Source organism: Homo sapiens, chromosome 3 (assembly GCF_000001405.40).
Source record: "Homo sapiens chromosome 3, GRCh38.p14 Primary Assembly".
Classification (NCBI taxonomy): domain Eukaryota; kingdom Metazoa; phylum Chordata; class Mammalia; order Primates; family Hominidae; genus Homo; species Homo sapiens.
In genome coordinates, this window is record NC_000003.12 from 159,988,438 (window position 1) to 160,006,824 (window position 18,387).

The 18,387-nt window shown below is 43.2% G+C and overlaps 1 protein-coding gene and 1 long non-coding RNA gene across 5 annotated transcripts in view, besides 5 other annotated features; one reads left to right on the forward strand and one right to left on the reverse strand.

The window, feature by feature from the left end:
- Positions 1 to 18,387, reverse strand: part of IL12A-AS1 (IL12A antisense RNA 1) — a 293,693-nt gene that overhangs the window by 75,038 nt on the left and 200,268 nt on the right. Inside the window, exons 7-9 of the long non-coding RNA NR_108088.1 lie at positions 9,407 to 9,668; positions 5,800 to 5,868; positions 660 to 856 (exon numbers count right to left, since the gene is read on the reverse strand). This is a non-coding gene — a long non-coding RNA (IL12A antisense RNA 1). The remainder of the gene's footprint in view (positions 1 to 659; positions 857 to 5,799; positions 5,869 to 9,406; positions 9,669 to 18,387) is intronic.
- Positions 108 to 608: an enhancer, noted in NCBI's record as "H3K4me1 hESC enhancer chr3:159706332-159706832 (GRCh37/hg19 assembly coordinates)". NCBI's record gives its function as "activates a minimal SCP1, AML or CMV promoter by ChIP-STARR-seq in primed H9 embryonic stem cells {active_cell/tissue: H9 hESC(primed)}" and the evidence as "EXISTENCE:reporter gene assay evidence [ECO:0000049][PMID:30033119]".
- Positions 169 to 368: a silencer, noted in NCBI's record as "silent region_14852". NCBI's record gives its function as "represses an Ori minimal core promoter by ATAC-STARR-seq in GM12878 lymphoblastoid cells {active_cell/tissue: GM12878}" and the evidence as "EXISTENCE:reporter gene assay evidence [ECO:0000049][PMID:35858748]".
- IL12A (interleukin 12A) lies at positions 398 to 7,582 on the forward strand. 4 transcript variants are annotated; one of them, NM_000882.4, is made up of 7 exons: positions 398 to 737; positions 1,730 to 1,875; positions 4,575 to 4,688; positions 5,014 to 5,055; positions 5,131 to 5,172; positions 5,264 to 5,407; positions 6,967 to 7,582. In NM_000882.4, the coding sequence occupies exons 1-7, from the start codon at positions 620 to 622 to the stop codon at positions 7,120 to 7,122; spliced, it is 762 nt and encodes a 253-aa protein (NP_000873.2). In that variant the 5' UTR covers positions 398 to 619; the 3' UTR covers positions 7,123 to 7,582. The 4 variants fall into 3 exon arrangements, with proteins under 4 accessions (NP_000873.2, NP_001384921.1, NP_001341511.1 ...); NM_001354582.2 differs by lacking the exon at positions 5,014 to 5,055; NM_001354583.2 differs by lacking the exon at positions 4,575 to 4,688.
- Positions 439 to 488: a silencer, noted in NCBI's record as "silent region_14853". NCBI's record gives its function as "represses an Ori minimal core promoter by ATAC-STARR-seq in GM12878 lymphoblastoid cells {active_cell/tissue: GM12878}" and the evidence as "EXISTENCE:reporter gene assay evidence [ECO:0000049][PMID:35858748]".
- Positions 609 to 658: an enhancer, noted in NCBI's record as "active region_20756". NCBI's record gives its function as "activates an Ori minimal core promoter by ATAC-STARR-seq in GM12878 lymphoblastoid cells {active_cell/tissue: GM12878}" and the evidence as "EXISTENCE:reporter gene assay evidence [ECO:0000049][PMID:35858748]".
- Positions 609 to 1,109: an enhancer, noted in NCBI's record as "H3K4me1 hESC enhancer chr3:159706833-159707333 (GRCh37/hg19 assembly coordinates)". NCBI's record gives its function as "activates a minimal SCP1, AML or CMV promoter by ChIP-STARR-seq in primed H9 embryonic stem cells {active_cell/tissue: H9 hESC(primed)}" and the evidence as "EXISTENCE:reporter gene assay evidence [ECO:0000049][PMID:30033119]".

The window sequence follows — 18,387 nt, forward strand, 5'->3', positions numbered from 1 at the left end:
CAGCCAGCTCTCATCCCTTTTCAGGTTTCAGAAAAGACCTGTGAACAAAACGCCTTGAGTCTGATTTAGTGTGGCAATGCCCCAAGGGTCCTGTTCTCCCTGGGTGTCCTGCACCTGGTGCAACGTCGGCCTGGCATCTAGTGAGCCATCTAAAGGAACGATGATGAGTGAATGATTTGCCTACCCCTTCCAGTACTAGGCTGGAGGTCGTGGTTAGGGCCCATCCCTACGCAGGACATGCAAAGTGGGAGGCACTCCTCTCTCTACGTCGGCAGGGGGCGCTGCACAGCTGCGGGGCGGGGTAGCTTAGACACGGGGCGTCCGGCTAAGGCCGGGGACCCAGGGTGGTGGGCGGGGTGTCCCGCCCGCCTGTGGACCCCGCGCAGTAACTGCGAACATTTCGCTTTCATTTTGGGCCGAGCTGGAGGCGGCGGGGCCGTCCCGGAACGGCTGCGGCCGGGCACCCCGGGAGTTAATCCGAAAGCGCCGCAAGCCCCGCGGGCCGGCCGCACCGCACGTGTCACCGAGAAGCTGATGTAGAGAGAGACACAGAAGGAGACAGAAAGCAAGAGACCAGAGTCCCGGGAAAGTCCTGCCGCGCCTCGGGACAATTATAAAAATGTGGCCCCCTGGGTCAGCCTCCCAGCCACCGCCCTCACCTGCCGCGGCCACAGGTCTGCATCCAGCGGCTCGCCCTGTGTCCCTGCAGTGCCGGCTCAGCATGTGTCCAGCGCGCAGTGAGTACTCAGCCCGCCAGGTCTTTGGCTCGCTCGGGTGCGGAGGGGCGGCTGCTTGGGAAGAGTGGGTAGAAACTCAAGTCTGCCTAAGGAGAGACTGGAACAGCAGCAGCCGTCTCCTGCAAAGAGGAATAAGAATAGGGGTCTCACCGTGTGCTAAATAGGGCATGTCTCTTTTCATCTCGAAACAGCCTGATGAGCTATCATTATGCCCACTTCGTAGAGGAGAAACTGAGGCCCAGCGTGGGAGATTTCCTGCTTTCCTGCCTAGGGTCCCTCAGCTACAAACAGAAGGCAGATCCTAGCCAGTTCTAAAGTCAGGCTTGGCCGGGTGCAATGGCTCACGCCTGTAATCCCAGCACTTTGGGAGGCCAAGGCGGACAGATCTCCTGAGGTCAGGAGTTCAAGACCAGCCTGACCAACATGGTGAAACCCCGTCTCTACTAACAAATACACAAATTAGCCGAGTGTGGTGGTGGGTGCCTGTAATCCCATCTACTCGGGAGTCTAAGGCAGGGAAAATTGCTTGAACTCGGAGGTGGAGGTTGCAGTGAGCCAAAATCGTGCCACTGCACTCCAGTCTGGGCCACAGAGTGAGACTCCGTCTTAAAAAAACAAAAAAAGTCAGGCTTTCTCACTCCACTGTTTTTAAAACACTGGGTCCCAAGTCTGACTCAGCCACTTCACCACCTGGTCTGGGTTTCCCTGATCAAAAACATGTAGGCTTTCTCTGGGTGAGTGTTGGGTTCAACACCCTTGTCCAAGCTCATCTCTAGACCCTCACAGGGAGCTGGCTTCTAGCCCTAGAATAGAGTGGCGCTTTGTAATAACTCGAGTCATCTCTCAGGTGTTGAAGGAAAAGTGTTGGAAATGGGTTGAGGGAGGTGGGTGCCAAGCATGAATGGATGGGTGAAGGTGGCCAGAATGGAGGGAAGGTGGTGCAGGCAGGCCATCCAGGCTGAAGCTCCTCCACCTGCTCCTCTTCCTTCCAGGCCTCCTCCTTGTGGCTACCCTGGTCCTCCTGGACCACCTCAGTTTGGCCAGAAACCTCCCCGTGGCCACTCCAGACCCAGGAATGTTCCCATGCCTTCACCACTCCCAAAACCTGCTGAGGGCCGTCAGCAACATGCTCCAGAAGGTGAGCCTTTCCTGTCCTCTCCACTGTGGACCTGCACCCTCCCTGAGGAAGGGGCCTCTGATCCTCCCCTCTGGTACCTGATGGAACTGCAGAGAAATTGTGGAAGTTCATTAGCAGCTGTCAACAGCAGGAGAGGGAACTTTACAAATGGCCCAAGTGTTAAAGAGTCCTAGTGAAATTGTGTCTCCAGAGAAAGCAAGAGTAGTAATAAATTATAATGATGTTGGTTTTGGCTATGTCTACACTGAGTAAAGTGGATATTTGCAGTGTTCCTGTAGCCTGCCAACAGAGATAGAATTGTGTCAGGTCCACATGGTTTCTCTGGCACCACACCACTGATCAATCCCGGAAATAGTTACTTGGGTGCATACTCTGTGTTGGGGGGCAGGGGTACAAAGATGAAATAGCCTTGTCCCTCCTGCTGCCCACCAGCTTCTACTTGGTGACACAGTTCCTTCTTGGAGCAACACATCTCAGGGAGGACTATGACAGTGCACATGCAGCCTTCATTTTCTAGGGAAGAGTTACCTAATTTTATTTACAGCTTCGTTCTTTTAGGTTTCATATTTTAATGTAAAAAACATTGCCGTTAAAAACTGCTCCAGTAGCTACTGCTGCAAAGGCTAAAGGCTAATGTTTTAAAAGATGTCCTCTGCCTTTCTGCTCTCTAGGAATTTTTTCTTGAGTATTTTCTAGCTTGTTGCCTTAGGAATATCTTAAAATAAGCTCAATGCCACCAAGCCTTCTTAAAGGGCTCCTTTCCCCTTTCAATCTTTCATAATGTGCTGTGCATTGCTCCTCACAATTCAATTAATCTTAATTGGACAGGGGGCTCAAGTGAAAACTGCTTTGTTTCCCGAAGAAAGGTTCAAAATGGGTAACTTTTAGGTGCTCCAATTCATATAGATTTTTTTGTGCAAAAGCTGACACCCCTACTCCCAGATATAGTCCTAAGGGTCAAAAGATTATAGAAATCAATTTAATGTTTTGTACATCATTTGTCAAATTTGCTGTAGTAGAAAACAAATGAGGTAGATGCAAGTGATTCACCGGCCATATCCAGGGCACAGGTTTGTAGAATTTGGGCTATATGTTTATTTTTTAGTTTGATGCCATTCAAAAACCAAACATTTCAATTAAGATTTCAAAATTCTAGCTTCTCTTGAAAAGATCTGAAGAACAACACTGGACTCACACCTCCAAATCTAACTCTTTATAACCTGCTCAGAATAGTGGGGTTGCCCAGGTCTGTTTAAACACCTCCGGGAATAGTGTATTCATTTCCTACTGCTGCTGTCACAAATGTAGTGGGTTTAAATGACACAAATTTATTATCTTACAGCTCTGGGCATCAGAAGTCCAAAATGGGTCCTACTGGGCTAAAGTCAATGTGTCAGCAGAGCTGTAGCCCTTTCTGGAGGCTCTTGGGGAGAATCTGTTGCCTTGCTTTGTCAGGTCTAGAGGCTGCCCACATTCCTTGACTTGTGGCCCCTTCCATTGTCCATACCAGCAATGTCTGGTTGAGTCTTTCTCATGCTGCTCCCTCTGGACTGACCTTCTACCCGCTTCTACTTTTGAGGACACTGCTTACACTGGATTCACCCAGATAATCCAGGATCATCTCTCTACTCTTAGATCAGCTGATTAGCAAATTGAATGTCATCTGCACCTTCATTCCTCTTTGGCAGGTCACATAGCTCATTACCGGGTTCCAGGGATTGGGAGGTGGATGTCTTTGGAGGTGGAGAATTGGTCTAGCTACCACAGAAAGGGATTTTACTACTTGTGCCCAAACGTATTCTGAATTTTCAGGCCTTGCTTCTTGGCTCATGCTGTTACCTCTGTCTGAAATTTCCCTCCTCCATTGTCGACACTTTACTCCTCTTAATGTGGGTGTCCCAACTCTAGGAAGCTTTGCTTCCCTTCCTGCCCCTCCTCAGAAGCTTCATGCCCTTCTCACCATGTCTCACCTACTGATGCCTCCTGGTCATTTGGGCAATTGTCTGTCTCAGCAGCTAAACTTGCAATCCAGGAGGGTATACATGGTCCTCTTCTCTGTCATGTTCTTAGTACCTAATGGAGTGCCTGCCACCCATTAGGCTGTTGAATGGAAAAATGATCGTAATCTTCAATCATACAGTCCTTTACTTCCTAAGATACATTTCATAATTTTACCCAACGGTGCTTTCCAACACACTAAGATGACATCTCTGTGTATGTGTGTGCGTGTGTGCACTGCAAATTAAATCTCAGCTTGTCTTAAGGGTTTGCATGTTTGTTATATCCATCAGACTGTGACCTTAACAGTTCCCCCTTTAGAAGTTATACTTGAAATAGGTATTCATAGAATACAGTCACTTTAGCAAAAGAAGAAACAATTTTCACCAGAAGCAAGTGTCACAGTGAGGTGTGGAGGCTGGTTAGCACAGGCTGTTGACATGATTTATTGTGTTTACATAATGAAAAAATATGTAATCCAGAGAAACATGCCCCAAGCTTAGGGAGAGGAGGGTGAGAGACAGAATGTAAGGAATCTATTTTCTTTTGTATTATGAAGAACCAGAATTTCCTGCAAGTCAAAGTGACAGAGGTCAAGGGCAGCCAGCCGGAGCCTTCCTGGCACCCTGGCTTACCAGCCTTGTGGGGTGCCAGGTGCATTATCAATGTTATAAACTGAGTTTCTCCTTCATTTTTTATAGGCCAGACAAACTCTAGAATTTTACCCTTGCACTTCTGAAGAGATTGATCATGAAGATATCACAAAAGATAAAACCAGCACAGTGGAGGCCTGTTTACCATTGGAATTAACCAAGGTATAAAGGATTTTCCTCCCAGAGCATGCAGTGTGGTTAAAAACTGTGCATCAAATCTCACCTGCTTCTAAAAATTCACGTTTCTGGTATCCATCATTATGGGATTTTAACTGGTCCTACTTCAGAAGTTAGATTTGGGAGAAAAATTATTTTTAAAAAATGGTTTTTTTTGCAACAATGTGAATACACTTAACACTTAAAAATAGTTCAGATGCTAAATATTATGATATGTGTTTTTACCATAATAAAAAAAATTTGAGACCTGAAGAGTCAGAAAGATTTATACTAAGAATTAATACTTTGATATATGATTTTTTCCCTCTAGAATGAGAGTTGCCTAAATTCCAGAGAGACCTCTTTCATAACTGTAAGTCAAAAAATGAAAAGTTTCAGCCTGTATGATGAATTCATATCACTGATGTCTGATTATTTTTTCCTCTAGAATGGGAGTTGCCTGGCCTCCAGAAAGACCTCTTTTATGATGGTAAGACACACAGCTCTTTCCTCAAATGCAATGGGGGAAATGTTTTTAGCCCATCTCAATGGATACTTCCCCATCTTGTCATGTCACCCAGGCCCTGTGCCTTAGTAGTATTTATGAAGACTTGAAGATGTACCAGGTGGAGTTCAAGACCATGAATGCAAAGCTTCTGATGGATCCTAAGAGGCAGATCTTTCTAGATCAAAACATGCTGGCAGTTATTGATGAGCTGATGCAGGTAAGACTTCATTCTATCAGTGAGAGCACCTTTTTCATGCTAAAGATAACCAGCCAGGGTCTTTGATAAAGAGATATAAAAAGAGGTCTGGAGGCCTTTTAAAGGCCTGACAGACCTACATTTTCAAGAAGACAGCCTTGAGGGTGCCGTCTATAGGGAGCACAAATGTGAGCAGATCACATTATGAAAAGCAGACTCCAAAGTATTCACTCTGTGGTATCCCCCACACTCGGCAAATGTTTTTGTGCATTTTCTTATGTCAGCCTCAAAACAACCATATGGGATCTGCACAAAGGAGGGAACCAAACCTTAGGAGAGTTAAACCACTTGTCTGAGGCTCTGCCTCTTAAAATCCTTCAAGAGGATTTCACTACACTTACCTTCTCACTCACCTCTAAAGGCTCCAGGACGTGCTCCAGGATGTGCATGCAAGGGGCCAGTTTGCATATCTGCAAATATTGCTGGGAAACAAGCAAGATTGGTGCCTGATTATGACCCATTGTGAACCAAAATGTGAACCAAATAAAAGAATGACCTATCATCTGGGGCATCTATAATGTTATTCATAGGCAAGAACTTGCTTTGTTATGTTCTGAATCACCATAACACAGATGCTAATATAAAACAAATATTTATATAAGCGAGGGTGACTGCTTTGGTGACGAGGACATGGGATAAAAATATGGTGGCAGAAATCATTGTCTGAAAAGTAATTGTTTTACTTTTATTCTTTTCGTGTGTGTGTGTGTGTGTGTGTGTGTGTGTGTGTGTGTGCATGTGCCAGATTTCTTGTTTGAAAGGCAATGAGCTTCATCCAAGTATCAAAGAATGTTAGCATCTAGAGAGCTGTAGTTGCTATTTCATTTTTAGGACCAAGAGTTGGGTGATTTGGGTGCTAGAATCAATTCTACCAGTAACCAGACAACTATTCCCAAGTCACTTAACCCCTCTGTGCCTCAGTTTCCTCCAGTATAAAATGGGGTGACTTTATTCTAGCTTTCTTTTAGACTTTTTGTGAGGAAGATATGAAAGTATTTATTCATCAAGGGTGCAAATGTAAGGTTTTATATTCTGTTATCAAATCAAAGTGCTAAACTTGGGAAATTCATTGCCAGGTTTATCTGACACAAATGGCATGTCTTCAGTAAACAGGCCTGTTACTGATAGTGAGTTCTGATCAATAGCAATCCATCACCTCCCTGTGCTAAACAGAAGTGGGCTTTTTAATGTAACATATATAAAATTAATTAGATATTGCAGCAGATGTCATTTTAAAGGAACTGTTTCTTTCTAAGACACAACTCCCACTGATGATTTTTTCTAAATAGTTTTAAGGGTCTTTTCAGAGCTCATTGAAGATGGATGTGCTTGGAAAATGAGTATTTCTTTTCTCATTCTGCCTGGTGATCTGGCTGAGAGTAGATTTGGATTGGGTTTAGGAGTGGCATAAGGGACTGAGTTGCAGGCTCTGAGACATGTACTGGCTTCACTCATTTTTATGAATGAATATTTGAATTTTGGAATACCATGTAAGTCATGCTTACTGTTCATTCTCCTAGGCCCTGAATTTCAACAGTGAGACTGTGCCACAAAAATCCTCCCTTGAAGAACCGGATTTTTATAAAACTAAAATCAAGCTCTGCATACTTCTTCATGCTTTCAGAATTCGGGCAGTGACTATTGATAGAGTGATGAGCTATCTGAATGCTTCCTAAAAAGCGAGGTCCCTCCAAACCGTTGTCATTTTTATAAAACTTTGAAATGAGGAAACTTTGATAGGATGTGGATTAAGAACTAGGGAGGGGGAAAGAAGGATGGGACTATTACATCCACATGATACCTCTGATCAAGTATTTTTGACATTTACTGTGGATAAATTGTTTTTAAGTTTTCATGAATGAATTGCTAAGAAGGGAAAATATCCATCCTGAAGGTGTTTTTCATTCACTTTAATAGAAGGGCAAATATTTATAAGCTATTTCTGTACCAAAGTGTTTGTGGAAACAAACATGTAAGCATAACTTATTTTAAAATATTTATTTATATAACTTGGTAATCATGAAAGCATCTGAGCTAACTTATATTTATTTATGTTATATTTATTAAATTATTTATCAAGTGTATTTGAAAAATATTTTTAAGTGTTCTAAAAATAAAAGTATTGAATTAAAGTGATTCTGCAATTTTTCTAATGTACTTTTAAGTGTTAAAATATACATTGTGGGAAAATTGAAAACTCTGATGAGACTTCAACAAAATTACTCTGGAAAGAATGCCACAATATTCTTATTCCTTTCCTAGTCCCTTTCATCTCATTTTAAAGGGACCCTAGTAAGACAAGATATGCTTTACTACTAAGGCAGCCAAGTGAGTCATGGTTTTTGAGGGTTTATTATTTTTGTTCAACATAAGACTAAAAGTATGCTGTGCATTAGAAAAATACTTCATAGTATTCTTCAACCAGAAAAAAAATGTCACTAAGAGGCCTTCTAGCCTAATTATTCTAATTTTTGTGACCCTTTGGGCTCTGAGAGAAAAGTTGTCTCTAATTTGCAACCAGAAAATCTCTCCATTTGTTTAAAACTGTATAGAACTTTTGCCTGAACCACATGGATAATTGCCTTACTTTGGCTTAAGAGATGTGCTCTTAATGAGCTAAATGTTAAATTCCATCTTTTTAATTCTCTAAACCAGGAGTCCCCGATCCCCAGGCCATGGAGTGGTACTGGTCTGTGGCCTGTTGGGCAGTGGGCCCCACAGCAGTAGGTGAGTGGCAGGTGAGCAAGTATTACCACCTGAGCTCCGCCTCCTGTCAGATCAGTGGCAGCATTAGATTCTCATAGGAGTGTGAACCCTATTGTGAACTACACATGCAAGGGATCTAGGCTGCATGCTCCTTATAAGAATCTAAGTAATGCCTGATAATACGAGGTGGAACAGTTTCATCCCGAAACTATCTTTGCCCCCTGCCCCCCGGGTCTGTGGAAAAATTGTCTTCCACAAAACCAGCCCCTGCTGCCCAAAAGGTTGCGGACCACTGCTGTAAATCATGTAAATCTTAGGTTTCATGACTTAGTTCATTTTGTACTGCTGTAACAGAATATCTGAGACTGGGCCATTTGTAAAGAACAGTGATTTATTTTTTTACTGCTCTGGAGGTTGGGAAGTTCGAGAACAAGGGGCCAACATCTGATGATGGCCTTTGTGCCCCATCATCATATGGCGGAAGGTGAGAGAGAGAGCAAGGGGGTGCTGAACGTGTCCCTTTATAAGGAATCCACTCCCATGATAACAGCATTAATCCATTCATGAGGGCAGAGTCCTCATTGCCTAATCACCTCGTAAAGGTCCCACATCTTTATACTGTTACAATGGCAATTAAACCTCAACGTGAGGCTGGGTGCAGTGGCTCACTCCTCTAATCCCAGCACTTTGGGAGGCCGAGGTGGGTGGATCACCTGATGTCGGGAGTTTGAGACCAGCCTAGCCAACATAGTGAAACCCCATCTCTATTAAAAATACAAAAATTAGCCAGGTGTGGTGACGAACATCTGTAATCCCAGCTACTCGGGAGGCTGAGGCAGGAGAATCTCTTGAACCCGGGAGGCAGAGCTTGTAGTGAGCCAAGATCGCACCACTGCACTCCAGCCTGGGCAACAGAGCGAGACTCCGTCTCAAAAAAAAAAAAAAAAATTCAATGTGAGTTTGGGAGGGGGACACACCACATTCAAACCATAGCAATTCACCTGACACAATACAATTTAATGTTAAGGCTTTGATAATCCATTCCTCCTTAATAGAAAAAGGACCTAAAATACAAAATATTTTGAGTGACCCCTTTCCTCAGTTACTCCTCCCAACTGAATCCCAATCTTTCTCCCTGTAAATGTGTTATCTCCTTCCCAGGTCCTCCTGCATGGCAAACATTCTCGTTTTTCAAATTCTTGCCCTATTAGACATTCAATAAAATAGAAACCATCAGAAGCTAGATCCCATCACCTATCTCCTTCTCTTGAGTGATTCTTCCACAATCTTGAATGGTCCACAAGTGCTTCACAGACATGGGTTTCTTTCAAGTGTCGAGTCTGGGGTCTCAGCAGCTTTGACAGTGAGGAGAGACGAACGGGGCTGTAGAGTTGCAGCCACCCCTCACTTGGAATGGTGACTACTGGTTGTCTGGGCCCAGAGATCAGGAGGGACAAGCAGACGGTCTCTTCCATGGACTGGGTTTACACACAAGAACACGTGTGTTTCTTCTGTTCTAGAAATTAGCATGGGATATGCTTCAAAAACATGACTGGCCACAGAAACAGCTTCATGGTTCATTCCATTCTTTATTGCATGGTTAGTTTTTCACTTTTTTTAAGCCTGTGTCTGCAGTTTACAAGTAGTGTAGTATGCTTGCAACCAAATCATTCCAATGCTCCCCATTGGTCTCCTCTTCTGAAAAAGGAAGGTAATACTAGAATCTACCTAAAAGGATCAGAGAAAGGGTAAAATGGAACAACTCGTGCAAAGGGCTAGCGTTGCACCTGGCACATAGTAAGTGCACAATAAATGTAAGCACATTTTGAAATGTATTATTAGTCTTTGGGCTAAGCACCTGCACCGAATTTGTTACCTCCTCTTTGCTGCTATTTCCTCATTGATGAAATTCAGAAAACGGTGGGACCTAATTAACTGTGTTATTGTGAAGATTAAATGACACAATACAGTGCCAGCACCTAGTTATTACTCAACATAAATTTGTCACAGTTCTCACAAGACATCAGAACACCCGCTGATGTGCTGTCCCCCATGGCACTCAGCATATTAAGTGTGGTCGGCACAAGCGGCTGCCTGGTGTGAAGTATGAGGGCAAAAGGCAGGGTCTCTGCCTTCCAAGAACAAAGGGTGGAGAGCAAAGTAACTTTTTTTTTTTTTGAGACGGAGTTTCACTTGTCACCCAAGCTAGAGTGCAGTGGCGCGATTCGGCTCACTGCAACCTCCACCCTCCAGGTTCAAGCGATTCTCCTGCCTCCGCCTCCTGAGTAGCTGGGATTACACGTGTCCACCACCATACCTAGATAATTTTTGTATTTTTAGAGACAGGGTTTCACCATGCTGGCTAAGCTGGTCTCAAACTCCTAGCCTCAGGTGATCCACCCACCTCGGCCTCTCAAAGTGCTGGGATTGCAGGCATGAGCCACTGAGCCAGGCCAGGAGCAAAGTAACTTATCAAAACCAAGGACCATCCCCCTAAAAATACCCCCCAGTCAATTGGAGATTCGTTTGATTAACAAACTACTTTATTCAAAAGAAACTAAACCTTGAAAGTGTATCTCACACCTAAGAATGACTAAATCAGAGAATTAACATGAAAAATATTTAGTTGTCAGCTGCCCCATTAAAGGTCCAGGACTTTGGGAAGACAGAACAGTTCTAGGACATGGTCTGGCCAGACATCCAAAGGTAAGTATTGAAAAACTCAAGAGATGTAAAAGACCCTTAGACACCCAAAGGAGGATAAGAAACTACAGACAAAAAGAAAAGAACACCAGCTTTGTTGGGGGCCAGCACCCACAGCCATCATAAGTCCTCTTCTCTGTGTCACACTGGGCCATTCAGTTATTATCCTTATTTGAGGACTAAACATTTTGGGCCGGGCGCGGTGGCTCACACCTGTAATCCTAGCACTTTGGGAGGCCAAAGCGGGCGGATCACAAGGTCAAGAGATCAAGACTATCCTGGCCAACATAGTGAAACCCTGTCTCTACTAAAAATACAAAAATTAGTTGGGCATGGTGGTGTGTGCCTGTAGTCCCAGCTACTCAGGAGGCTGAGGCAGGAGAATTGCTTGAACCCAGGAGGCGGAGGTTGCAGTGAGCCGATATCGCACCACTGCACTCCAGCCTGGCAACAGAGCGAGATTCCATCTAAAAAAAAAAATTAAAAATTAAAAAATACTTTTGGTTCTGGCTAGCATAATTTGGCTTCCTAGTTTAAAGCAAACTGCATTACAATATGATAAGTAAGAAAAAAATATGGCCGCATTGTCCAAAAATTGAATTCTATGTACTTGAAATATTTTATTTAAAAAAGTGAAATAGGATGCGTATAAATGTTTTGAAATATATGTGGTGAGAACAGGCACAAAAACTTTAGTTATATTTATGTATCTTTCAATTTTACATTAAAAATATGAGTATGAATTAGATCTATGTAATATCAAAAACAGTATATTAATGGAATCTGTTTTAGACAAAAAAAAAGTAGTAGCAACTGCTCAGTTGTGCTTCCTAAATGCCAGGCATGTTCCTAAGAGTTTACCACAAATAAACATAACCATCCTAATAACCCTTTTTATGGATGTGGAAAGTGAAGAAAATTATTGAAGTTGACCAGGTGCGGTGACTCATGCCTGTAATCCCAGCATTTTGGAAGGCCGAGATGAAGGATTGCTTGAGCCCAGGAGTTCAAGACCAGCCTGGGCAACATGGCAAAATCCCCATCTCTACAAAAAATAAAAATAATAAATAATAAGATTATGTAAGCTCACATAATTAACATTTTAAGTGGCCTGGTCTCAGCCTGTGCCAGCAGCTATGCTCATGTTGAAGTCACTGTCTAAGTCAAGGGAATGCTTTCCCTATAACCATATAAATATCATCCCAATTATTTATGTATCTCCCTTCTCTCTCTTGCTAAACTGTGGGAACCTCAGATATAGGCAATGTAGTATTACCCACGTATTTGTGTTCCCAGCCCCAGGAACTTAAAAATGATACAGAAACAAAGGGAATCTTCATGAGCCCCCACAATTCTCATGTCTTTTCCTAATCTAGATAGAAATAAAGAAGTCTCAGCCAGGTGTGGTGGCTCATGCCTGTAATCCCAGCACTTTGGGGGGCCGAGGTGGGCGGACCACCTGAGGTCAGGAGTTCGAGACCAGCCTGGCCAACATGGTGAAACCCTGTCTCTACTAAAACTACAAAAATTAGCCAGGTGTGGTGGTGTGCGCCTGTAGTCCCAGCTACTCAGCAGGCTGAGGCAGGGAATTGCTTGAACCCAGGAGGCAGAGGTTGCAGTGAGCTGAGATCGTGCCACTGCACTCCAGCCTGGGTGACAGAGCAAGACTCCGTCTCAAAAAATACATAAATAAAAATAAAATTTAAAAAATAAGTCTCTAGTCTTTGAAAGAAACTTATTCACAATTATAAAAATAAAGAGTTAAAAAATTGAAAATGCATATGCTTACTTAGTTCAAAATAATTATACATGTTCATAATGGGGAAAAATCCAAATTCATAAACGTTTTGATTTAGTTAACATAATTTAAATACCTGTGGTCTGAGTATATGTCTATGCTTCAGAAACAACGTGCCAATAAATATTCCACACCTAGGGGTGGGAAAGTGTTTTACTTCCCATTAGGTTGCAGATGTCTTAGAAACACATTCCTGCACCACAGCTTCAAGAAATCCAAATAATGACCTGATCTGCTGGTTTCCAAGCTACCCTACCAGGAGCAAGTCAGAGGCCCTGCAGGGCTCCTCGGTAAGCCCTCGAAATCCCTCTCCCCTCAATGACCCCACCACAGCAGCTCCACTTTTGAATATTTTACCAGTGCGTGTTCCAGGTAAGATTTCCTTTCACAAAAGGTTTTCGTGGGTAAGGAAAAATGAAAACTTGCTGAATTACTCTAAGCCCCTCTCTCCAGTTGTTTTTATAATGGAACCACCTGTTGATTTCCAGGCTTGCTCGAAAAGAAAACACTGCTATAAATGCATAGAGCGTCTTCCCTTCTGAAAAGGAAACTTGTGCTAGAGGTTACAGAAAACAGCAAGAATGGGATTGCAAAGAATAAAGGTGGCTGACTAACTCTAGACTTCCTAACTGAGGACTTACATCAGGACCAGAACAAATTAGGTCTAAATCTACAGTGGGCTCCAGGGTGGAAATGGAGGTCTCACTTAAGAAGCAGGAGAAATCTCAAAACTCAGAGCCTAGAATTTAACCCCAGGGCCTCCGTGTTAGCATCAGCGGCTGCAGAGCCAGGATCAGGACTTCTCAAATCCTGACATATAGACAGGGAGGCTGAGAACACCTGTCAACCAAAAACACATGATTCCAGCAGTGAATCCCTGGGATCAAGCTCTTCAGCAAGCAGTGTGCTGGTTCACCCTAAGAAGGACTTCCAGAAAACGGGTAGTGGCCTAGGCTGACTGCTGGAAACCACGATTCTCATGGGAACAAATTAAAAATTCAGCAACTGCTGTGTTCTCTTTAGAGAATGGAGTGAAGCGTGCTTTCTCATGAAAAAGCAGCGGGAGGAAACTTTTCCCCGAAAGGAATACAGCAAAAGGACCAAATGAGAGTCATTATGTGCAGAAAAATCCCTTGTCAAGAGAAATGCACAAATGAGGAAGTATTAGGAATCTGCCTGGTTTTAAATAAAAACACACCTTCCCATCCTTGGAAGGGAGAAAACCATAATTATTCCTGTGGCAAAAGGGCTGTGGGGACAATGCAGGTTGTCCTGAACCTGTGTGAACACCTGGTGAACTAGTTTACCCTGTCTGGCACTCACTCAGCCTTGGCCCAGGAGCCAAAGAGCTGGGATCAAAACCAACTATTGCCAAAGAGCCAAAGGAAAGACAACCAAGGAATAGGATGCTTTAAAACAGGACCTGTAAGTAAATAATACAAAGAAGAGCAGTGTCAAAAAGCAGACTTCCTTTTCTTCTCATCATCCATGATTTATGAATTTATGGATCAAATAATGTAAAATATATCCAGAATATTAATCACCCACCACACTCATGATGCTGAAGTAGTGACAATATCTACACAGACCAAAAAAAAAAAAAAAAAACATTTCACCAATTAGCAGCAGCCAATGAGGCCCATTATTTCCTGAGGCAAGTCTTTTTCAAGAAAAGAAGACAGCTTTCCCTTGGTTCTGTGAAAGCTATCTCTGAGTAGCATTCTTCCCCATGAAAAGTAAATAATTCCACCGTGAAAGTCCAAGAAAAGTAGTGTTTGGCCAGTTGTACTTCTCCAGGGGATGAGGAGCTCACCTTTGAGCTTGCATCCCAAATTGCTAGGTGGGAGAGAATTGCATTTGTTTCTAATCTCTTGAGGCTTCAGCACCCCAAGACTAGAGAGTAGAAAACCTCAGTGGTCCTCCAGGCAAAGTGGGCCCGAGGGTTCAGAACGCTCGCTCACCATGTCTGAAAAGCATGCAGAGAGATCATAGTACTTTGACTTCTGATATAACCTTCTGGGGTGTTTATGTACTTATTTTTTTTGAGACGGAGCCTCGCTCTGTCATCAGGCTGGAGTGTGGTGGCGTGATATCGGCTCACTGCAACTTCTGACTCCCTGGTTCAAGCGATTCTCCTGCCTCAGCCTCCTGAGTAGCTGGGGTTACAGGCACATGCCACCATGCCCAGCTAATTTTTGTACTTTTAGTAGAGACGGGGTTTCACCATGTTGGCCAGGATGGTCTTGATCTCCTGACCTCGTGGTCTGCCTGCCTCGGCCTTCCAAAGTGCTGGGATTACAGGCATGAGCCACCGCGCCCGGCCAGGAATAAAAAAATCTAAATAGAATTTTAAATAAAACCTCTCTCTGAATTACTGAGGATTCTTAGAAAAAAAAAACACTATATTCGTTGTAGTAACAACATATAATAATCAAAGTCTTGAATTGATTTGAGCTCAGTTATGACAATGTGCTACATCCATCCACACACATACAAAATTAGAAGTGCTTGAAAACCAAGACAAGGAACCCTGTGGTTTTCTGGATCAACACCAGGAACGATCCCCTCCAGCCCTCCCTGGGCTCTGCTTTCTCCCTTGCCCTCTTTGCTGGTTGAATATTGCTGGCGCCACCCAGTGGCCCCCATGACCCCTGCTTCAGTGCCACAGAAGGCCCAGAAGGCTCAATGCTACCAGCCCTGCCTTAAGTACCAGGGTGACATGACTGCTCCCTTACTGAGCCAGACCACCTGCCTGGATCTTGACATGCATGGTCTCCTTTCATTCTCACCACAGCCCAGGACATAGGAGGGTCTGAACCCATTTCACAGATGGGAACAGAGAGGCTTCAAGTTAGGTTGAGATTTTACTTACAGTCCCAAAGCTAGGGCAGCACTGGGGCTGGGCTTCCAACCCTTCCTCTGACTCAGCTGCACACACCATCCTTACTAAGAGGACAGCAGCCCCTTGCTTGCTTTTGCATTTGCATAACTCTCTGAACCCAAGCTTATAAATAACCAAGCCACATGTTCTATAGCTATTCCCAAAGACACAGCTTGATTCCAGACAAATAACTAAGATATAATTTTCTGCTCACCTTCCAACACATCTTGGACTTCAAGAGAGATGATGTCTTTCAAGCACTTACATAAATTCTGGGCTGTGGCAAGGCTCTGATCCTTTTCTTGCCACTTCTTCAGCATCCTAAACTTGCAGATGGTAACATCTTCTGCCCTCTTCCAGATATCATCAGTTTTGATAACTCCAACTCCAGATTGGCAGTGGCAGGTTTTGTTTTGTTTTGTTTTGTTTTGTTTTGTTTTGTTTGCAATGGCACAATCTCAGCTCACTACAACCTCCGCCTCCCGGGTTCAAGCGATTCTCCTAACTCAACCTCCCAAATAGCTAGGATTACAGGCGCCTGCCACCATGCCCAGCTAATTTTTGTATTTTTAGTAGAGACAGGGTTTTGCCATATTGGCCAGGCTGGCCTCGAACTCCTGACCTCATGATCCGCCCGCCTTGGCCTCCCAAAATGCTGGGATTACAGGAGTGAGCCACCGCACCCAGCTGGCAGTGGCAGTTTTTATCCACTCTTTCCTCAAGTCGCCAGCAAGGGTAATCAAAAAACTGAGTAACTGTTAAGGGGGTTTCGTCTTTGCTTCATCTAAACACAGATGATGAATTCAGTAGTTCCTCTGAACATTTCAATCATTAATAGATACTTACAATGAAAATATACTCTCCTTATTAAAAAAAGTATAGCATTAATTGTTACTTCTCTCACTTTTAAAATATATTTAAATGTTCCCCAATCACTGTTTTCCAATCAATTTTAAGGACTAAATGGTACCATTTCATATAACATACCACTGTTAGAGTGTAATGTTCATTCACAGTGATAGTTCCAATAATAAGACTGTTTTGAAGACAGCACAAATTAGGTTGGAATTTTGAAAAATTCAGACATCAAAAATAATTCAAGTGGCTTAAAAAGAGAAAGATACAGTTTTGGTCTTACACACCTGTCTTTATCTAAATGTTAGTGGCACACCAAGACACTTAGTGACCTCAGTGACCACTAAGGAGAAAAGCAAGAGATCTGAGCTCTCATCTCCATTATGCCACTTCCTGGTTTTAGGGGGAAATGCACATTTCAAAAAAAAGCCTCATGGGATGGTAATATCTGTTTTATATCTGATTTGTAATGTCTGCTAATTTCTTAGAAAGTGTCATACACTTAGAAGGTGTGATTTTTGTGAAATATACATTTGGTCTTCCTTATCTTTTCCTGGCATAAAGCTCCTAAAATCCTTGGAATCTAAGGAGTGTTTAGAGTGTATACGCTAATTATATAGCATAATTATATATTAGCATATAAAGGAGTGTATGCTAACTATATTACTAGATAGCATATATAATATAGCATGTAATTATAGATATATATATTATATTATTATATAACATAATAATATATACTATATAATTAGCATATAATCCTTTATATGTTAATGAGGTGACTGGTAGCTGAGGGCCCCTGGATAGCTTCAGGTTAGGAGTGGGTCACAGTAAAAACCAAGGCTGGATTGGAAAGTTAGGATTTTCAGCTCCACCCCATAACCAGCAGATAGGGAGGAGGGCTGAAAATGGAGTTGATCACTAACGGCCAGTGATGTAATCAATCATGCCTACAAATTAAAGCTTCTATAAAACCAAAAGGACAGGGTTCAGAGAGGTTCCAGGTTTGCAAATACATCCACATGCTGGGAGTGTGTGCACCCTAACTCCACAGGGACAGGAGCTCCAGTGCTGGGACCATTCCAGATAGCTCCCTGAGTATCTTTCCATCTGGCTGTTCATCTGCATCCTTTATTATATCTCTAACTAATAAACCAGTAAATGTAAGTAAAGTATTGCCCTGAGCTCTGTGAGCCACTGTAACAAATTAATTGAACCCCTGGGCAGGGTCTTGGGAGCCCCAATTTGTAGCCAGTGGATCAGAAGTTCTGGCAATTCAGTCTTATAACTGGCCTCTGAAGTGGGGGACAGTCTTGTGGGACTGAGCCCTTAACCTGTGGGATCTGACAGTATCTCTAGATAGCTAGTGTAAGAGTTGAGTTGAATTAGAGGACACCCAGCTGGTGTGCACTGCAGAATCTGCAGAAAAATTGCTTGCTTGCTTGCTTGCTTGGCATGTGAGGAGTAGTGTGTGGTGAGTGAGGGTAGGAAAAAACACTTTGGTTTGATTTTTGCACTCTATCTCCTATATCATGTAGGAGGGCATATATGTCTACCAATTCAAATCATTGGCCCCATAAAAATATTAGCCCTCTCATTGAGCTAGTTTTCCTACTTTCACCTTTTTAAAGTGGTTGTGCTATAGTACAGCACAGTTGACTAGTGGAGAGTTTCAGTTAAGGATCCTCCAGGCATTTCAAATACTGGAGATAAAGCTAGAAAGAGGTGAGAAGTGACAGGAATCCTTCCCACTCTCCCGCTAGGACCCAACACCTAAGCTCATCTTCACCATCCACTTATTAACGTGCATTTAACATGTGTACTTGGACTCTTCCCCACTCCACTTTCCTCTCTGACCACTTTCTTGATTGAAGAACGGGCTCCAAGGGATGGCCCTGCCATCTAGTGGTTTCCTGATACCTGGCAGCTTACTCCTAGCTTTCTAAACCTCTGCCCCATAAAAGTTGCCCAGAGAGCCTATGAAAAAACCTAAGTTCT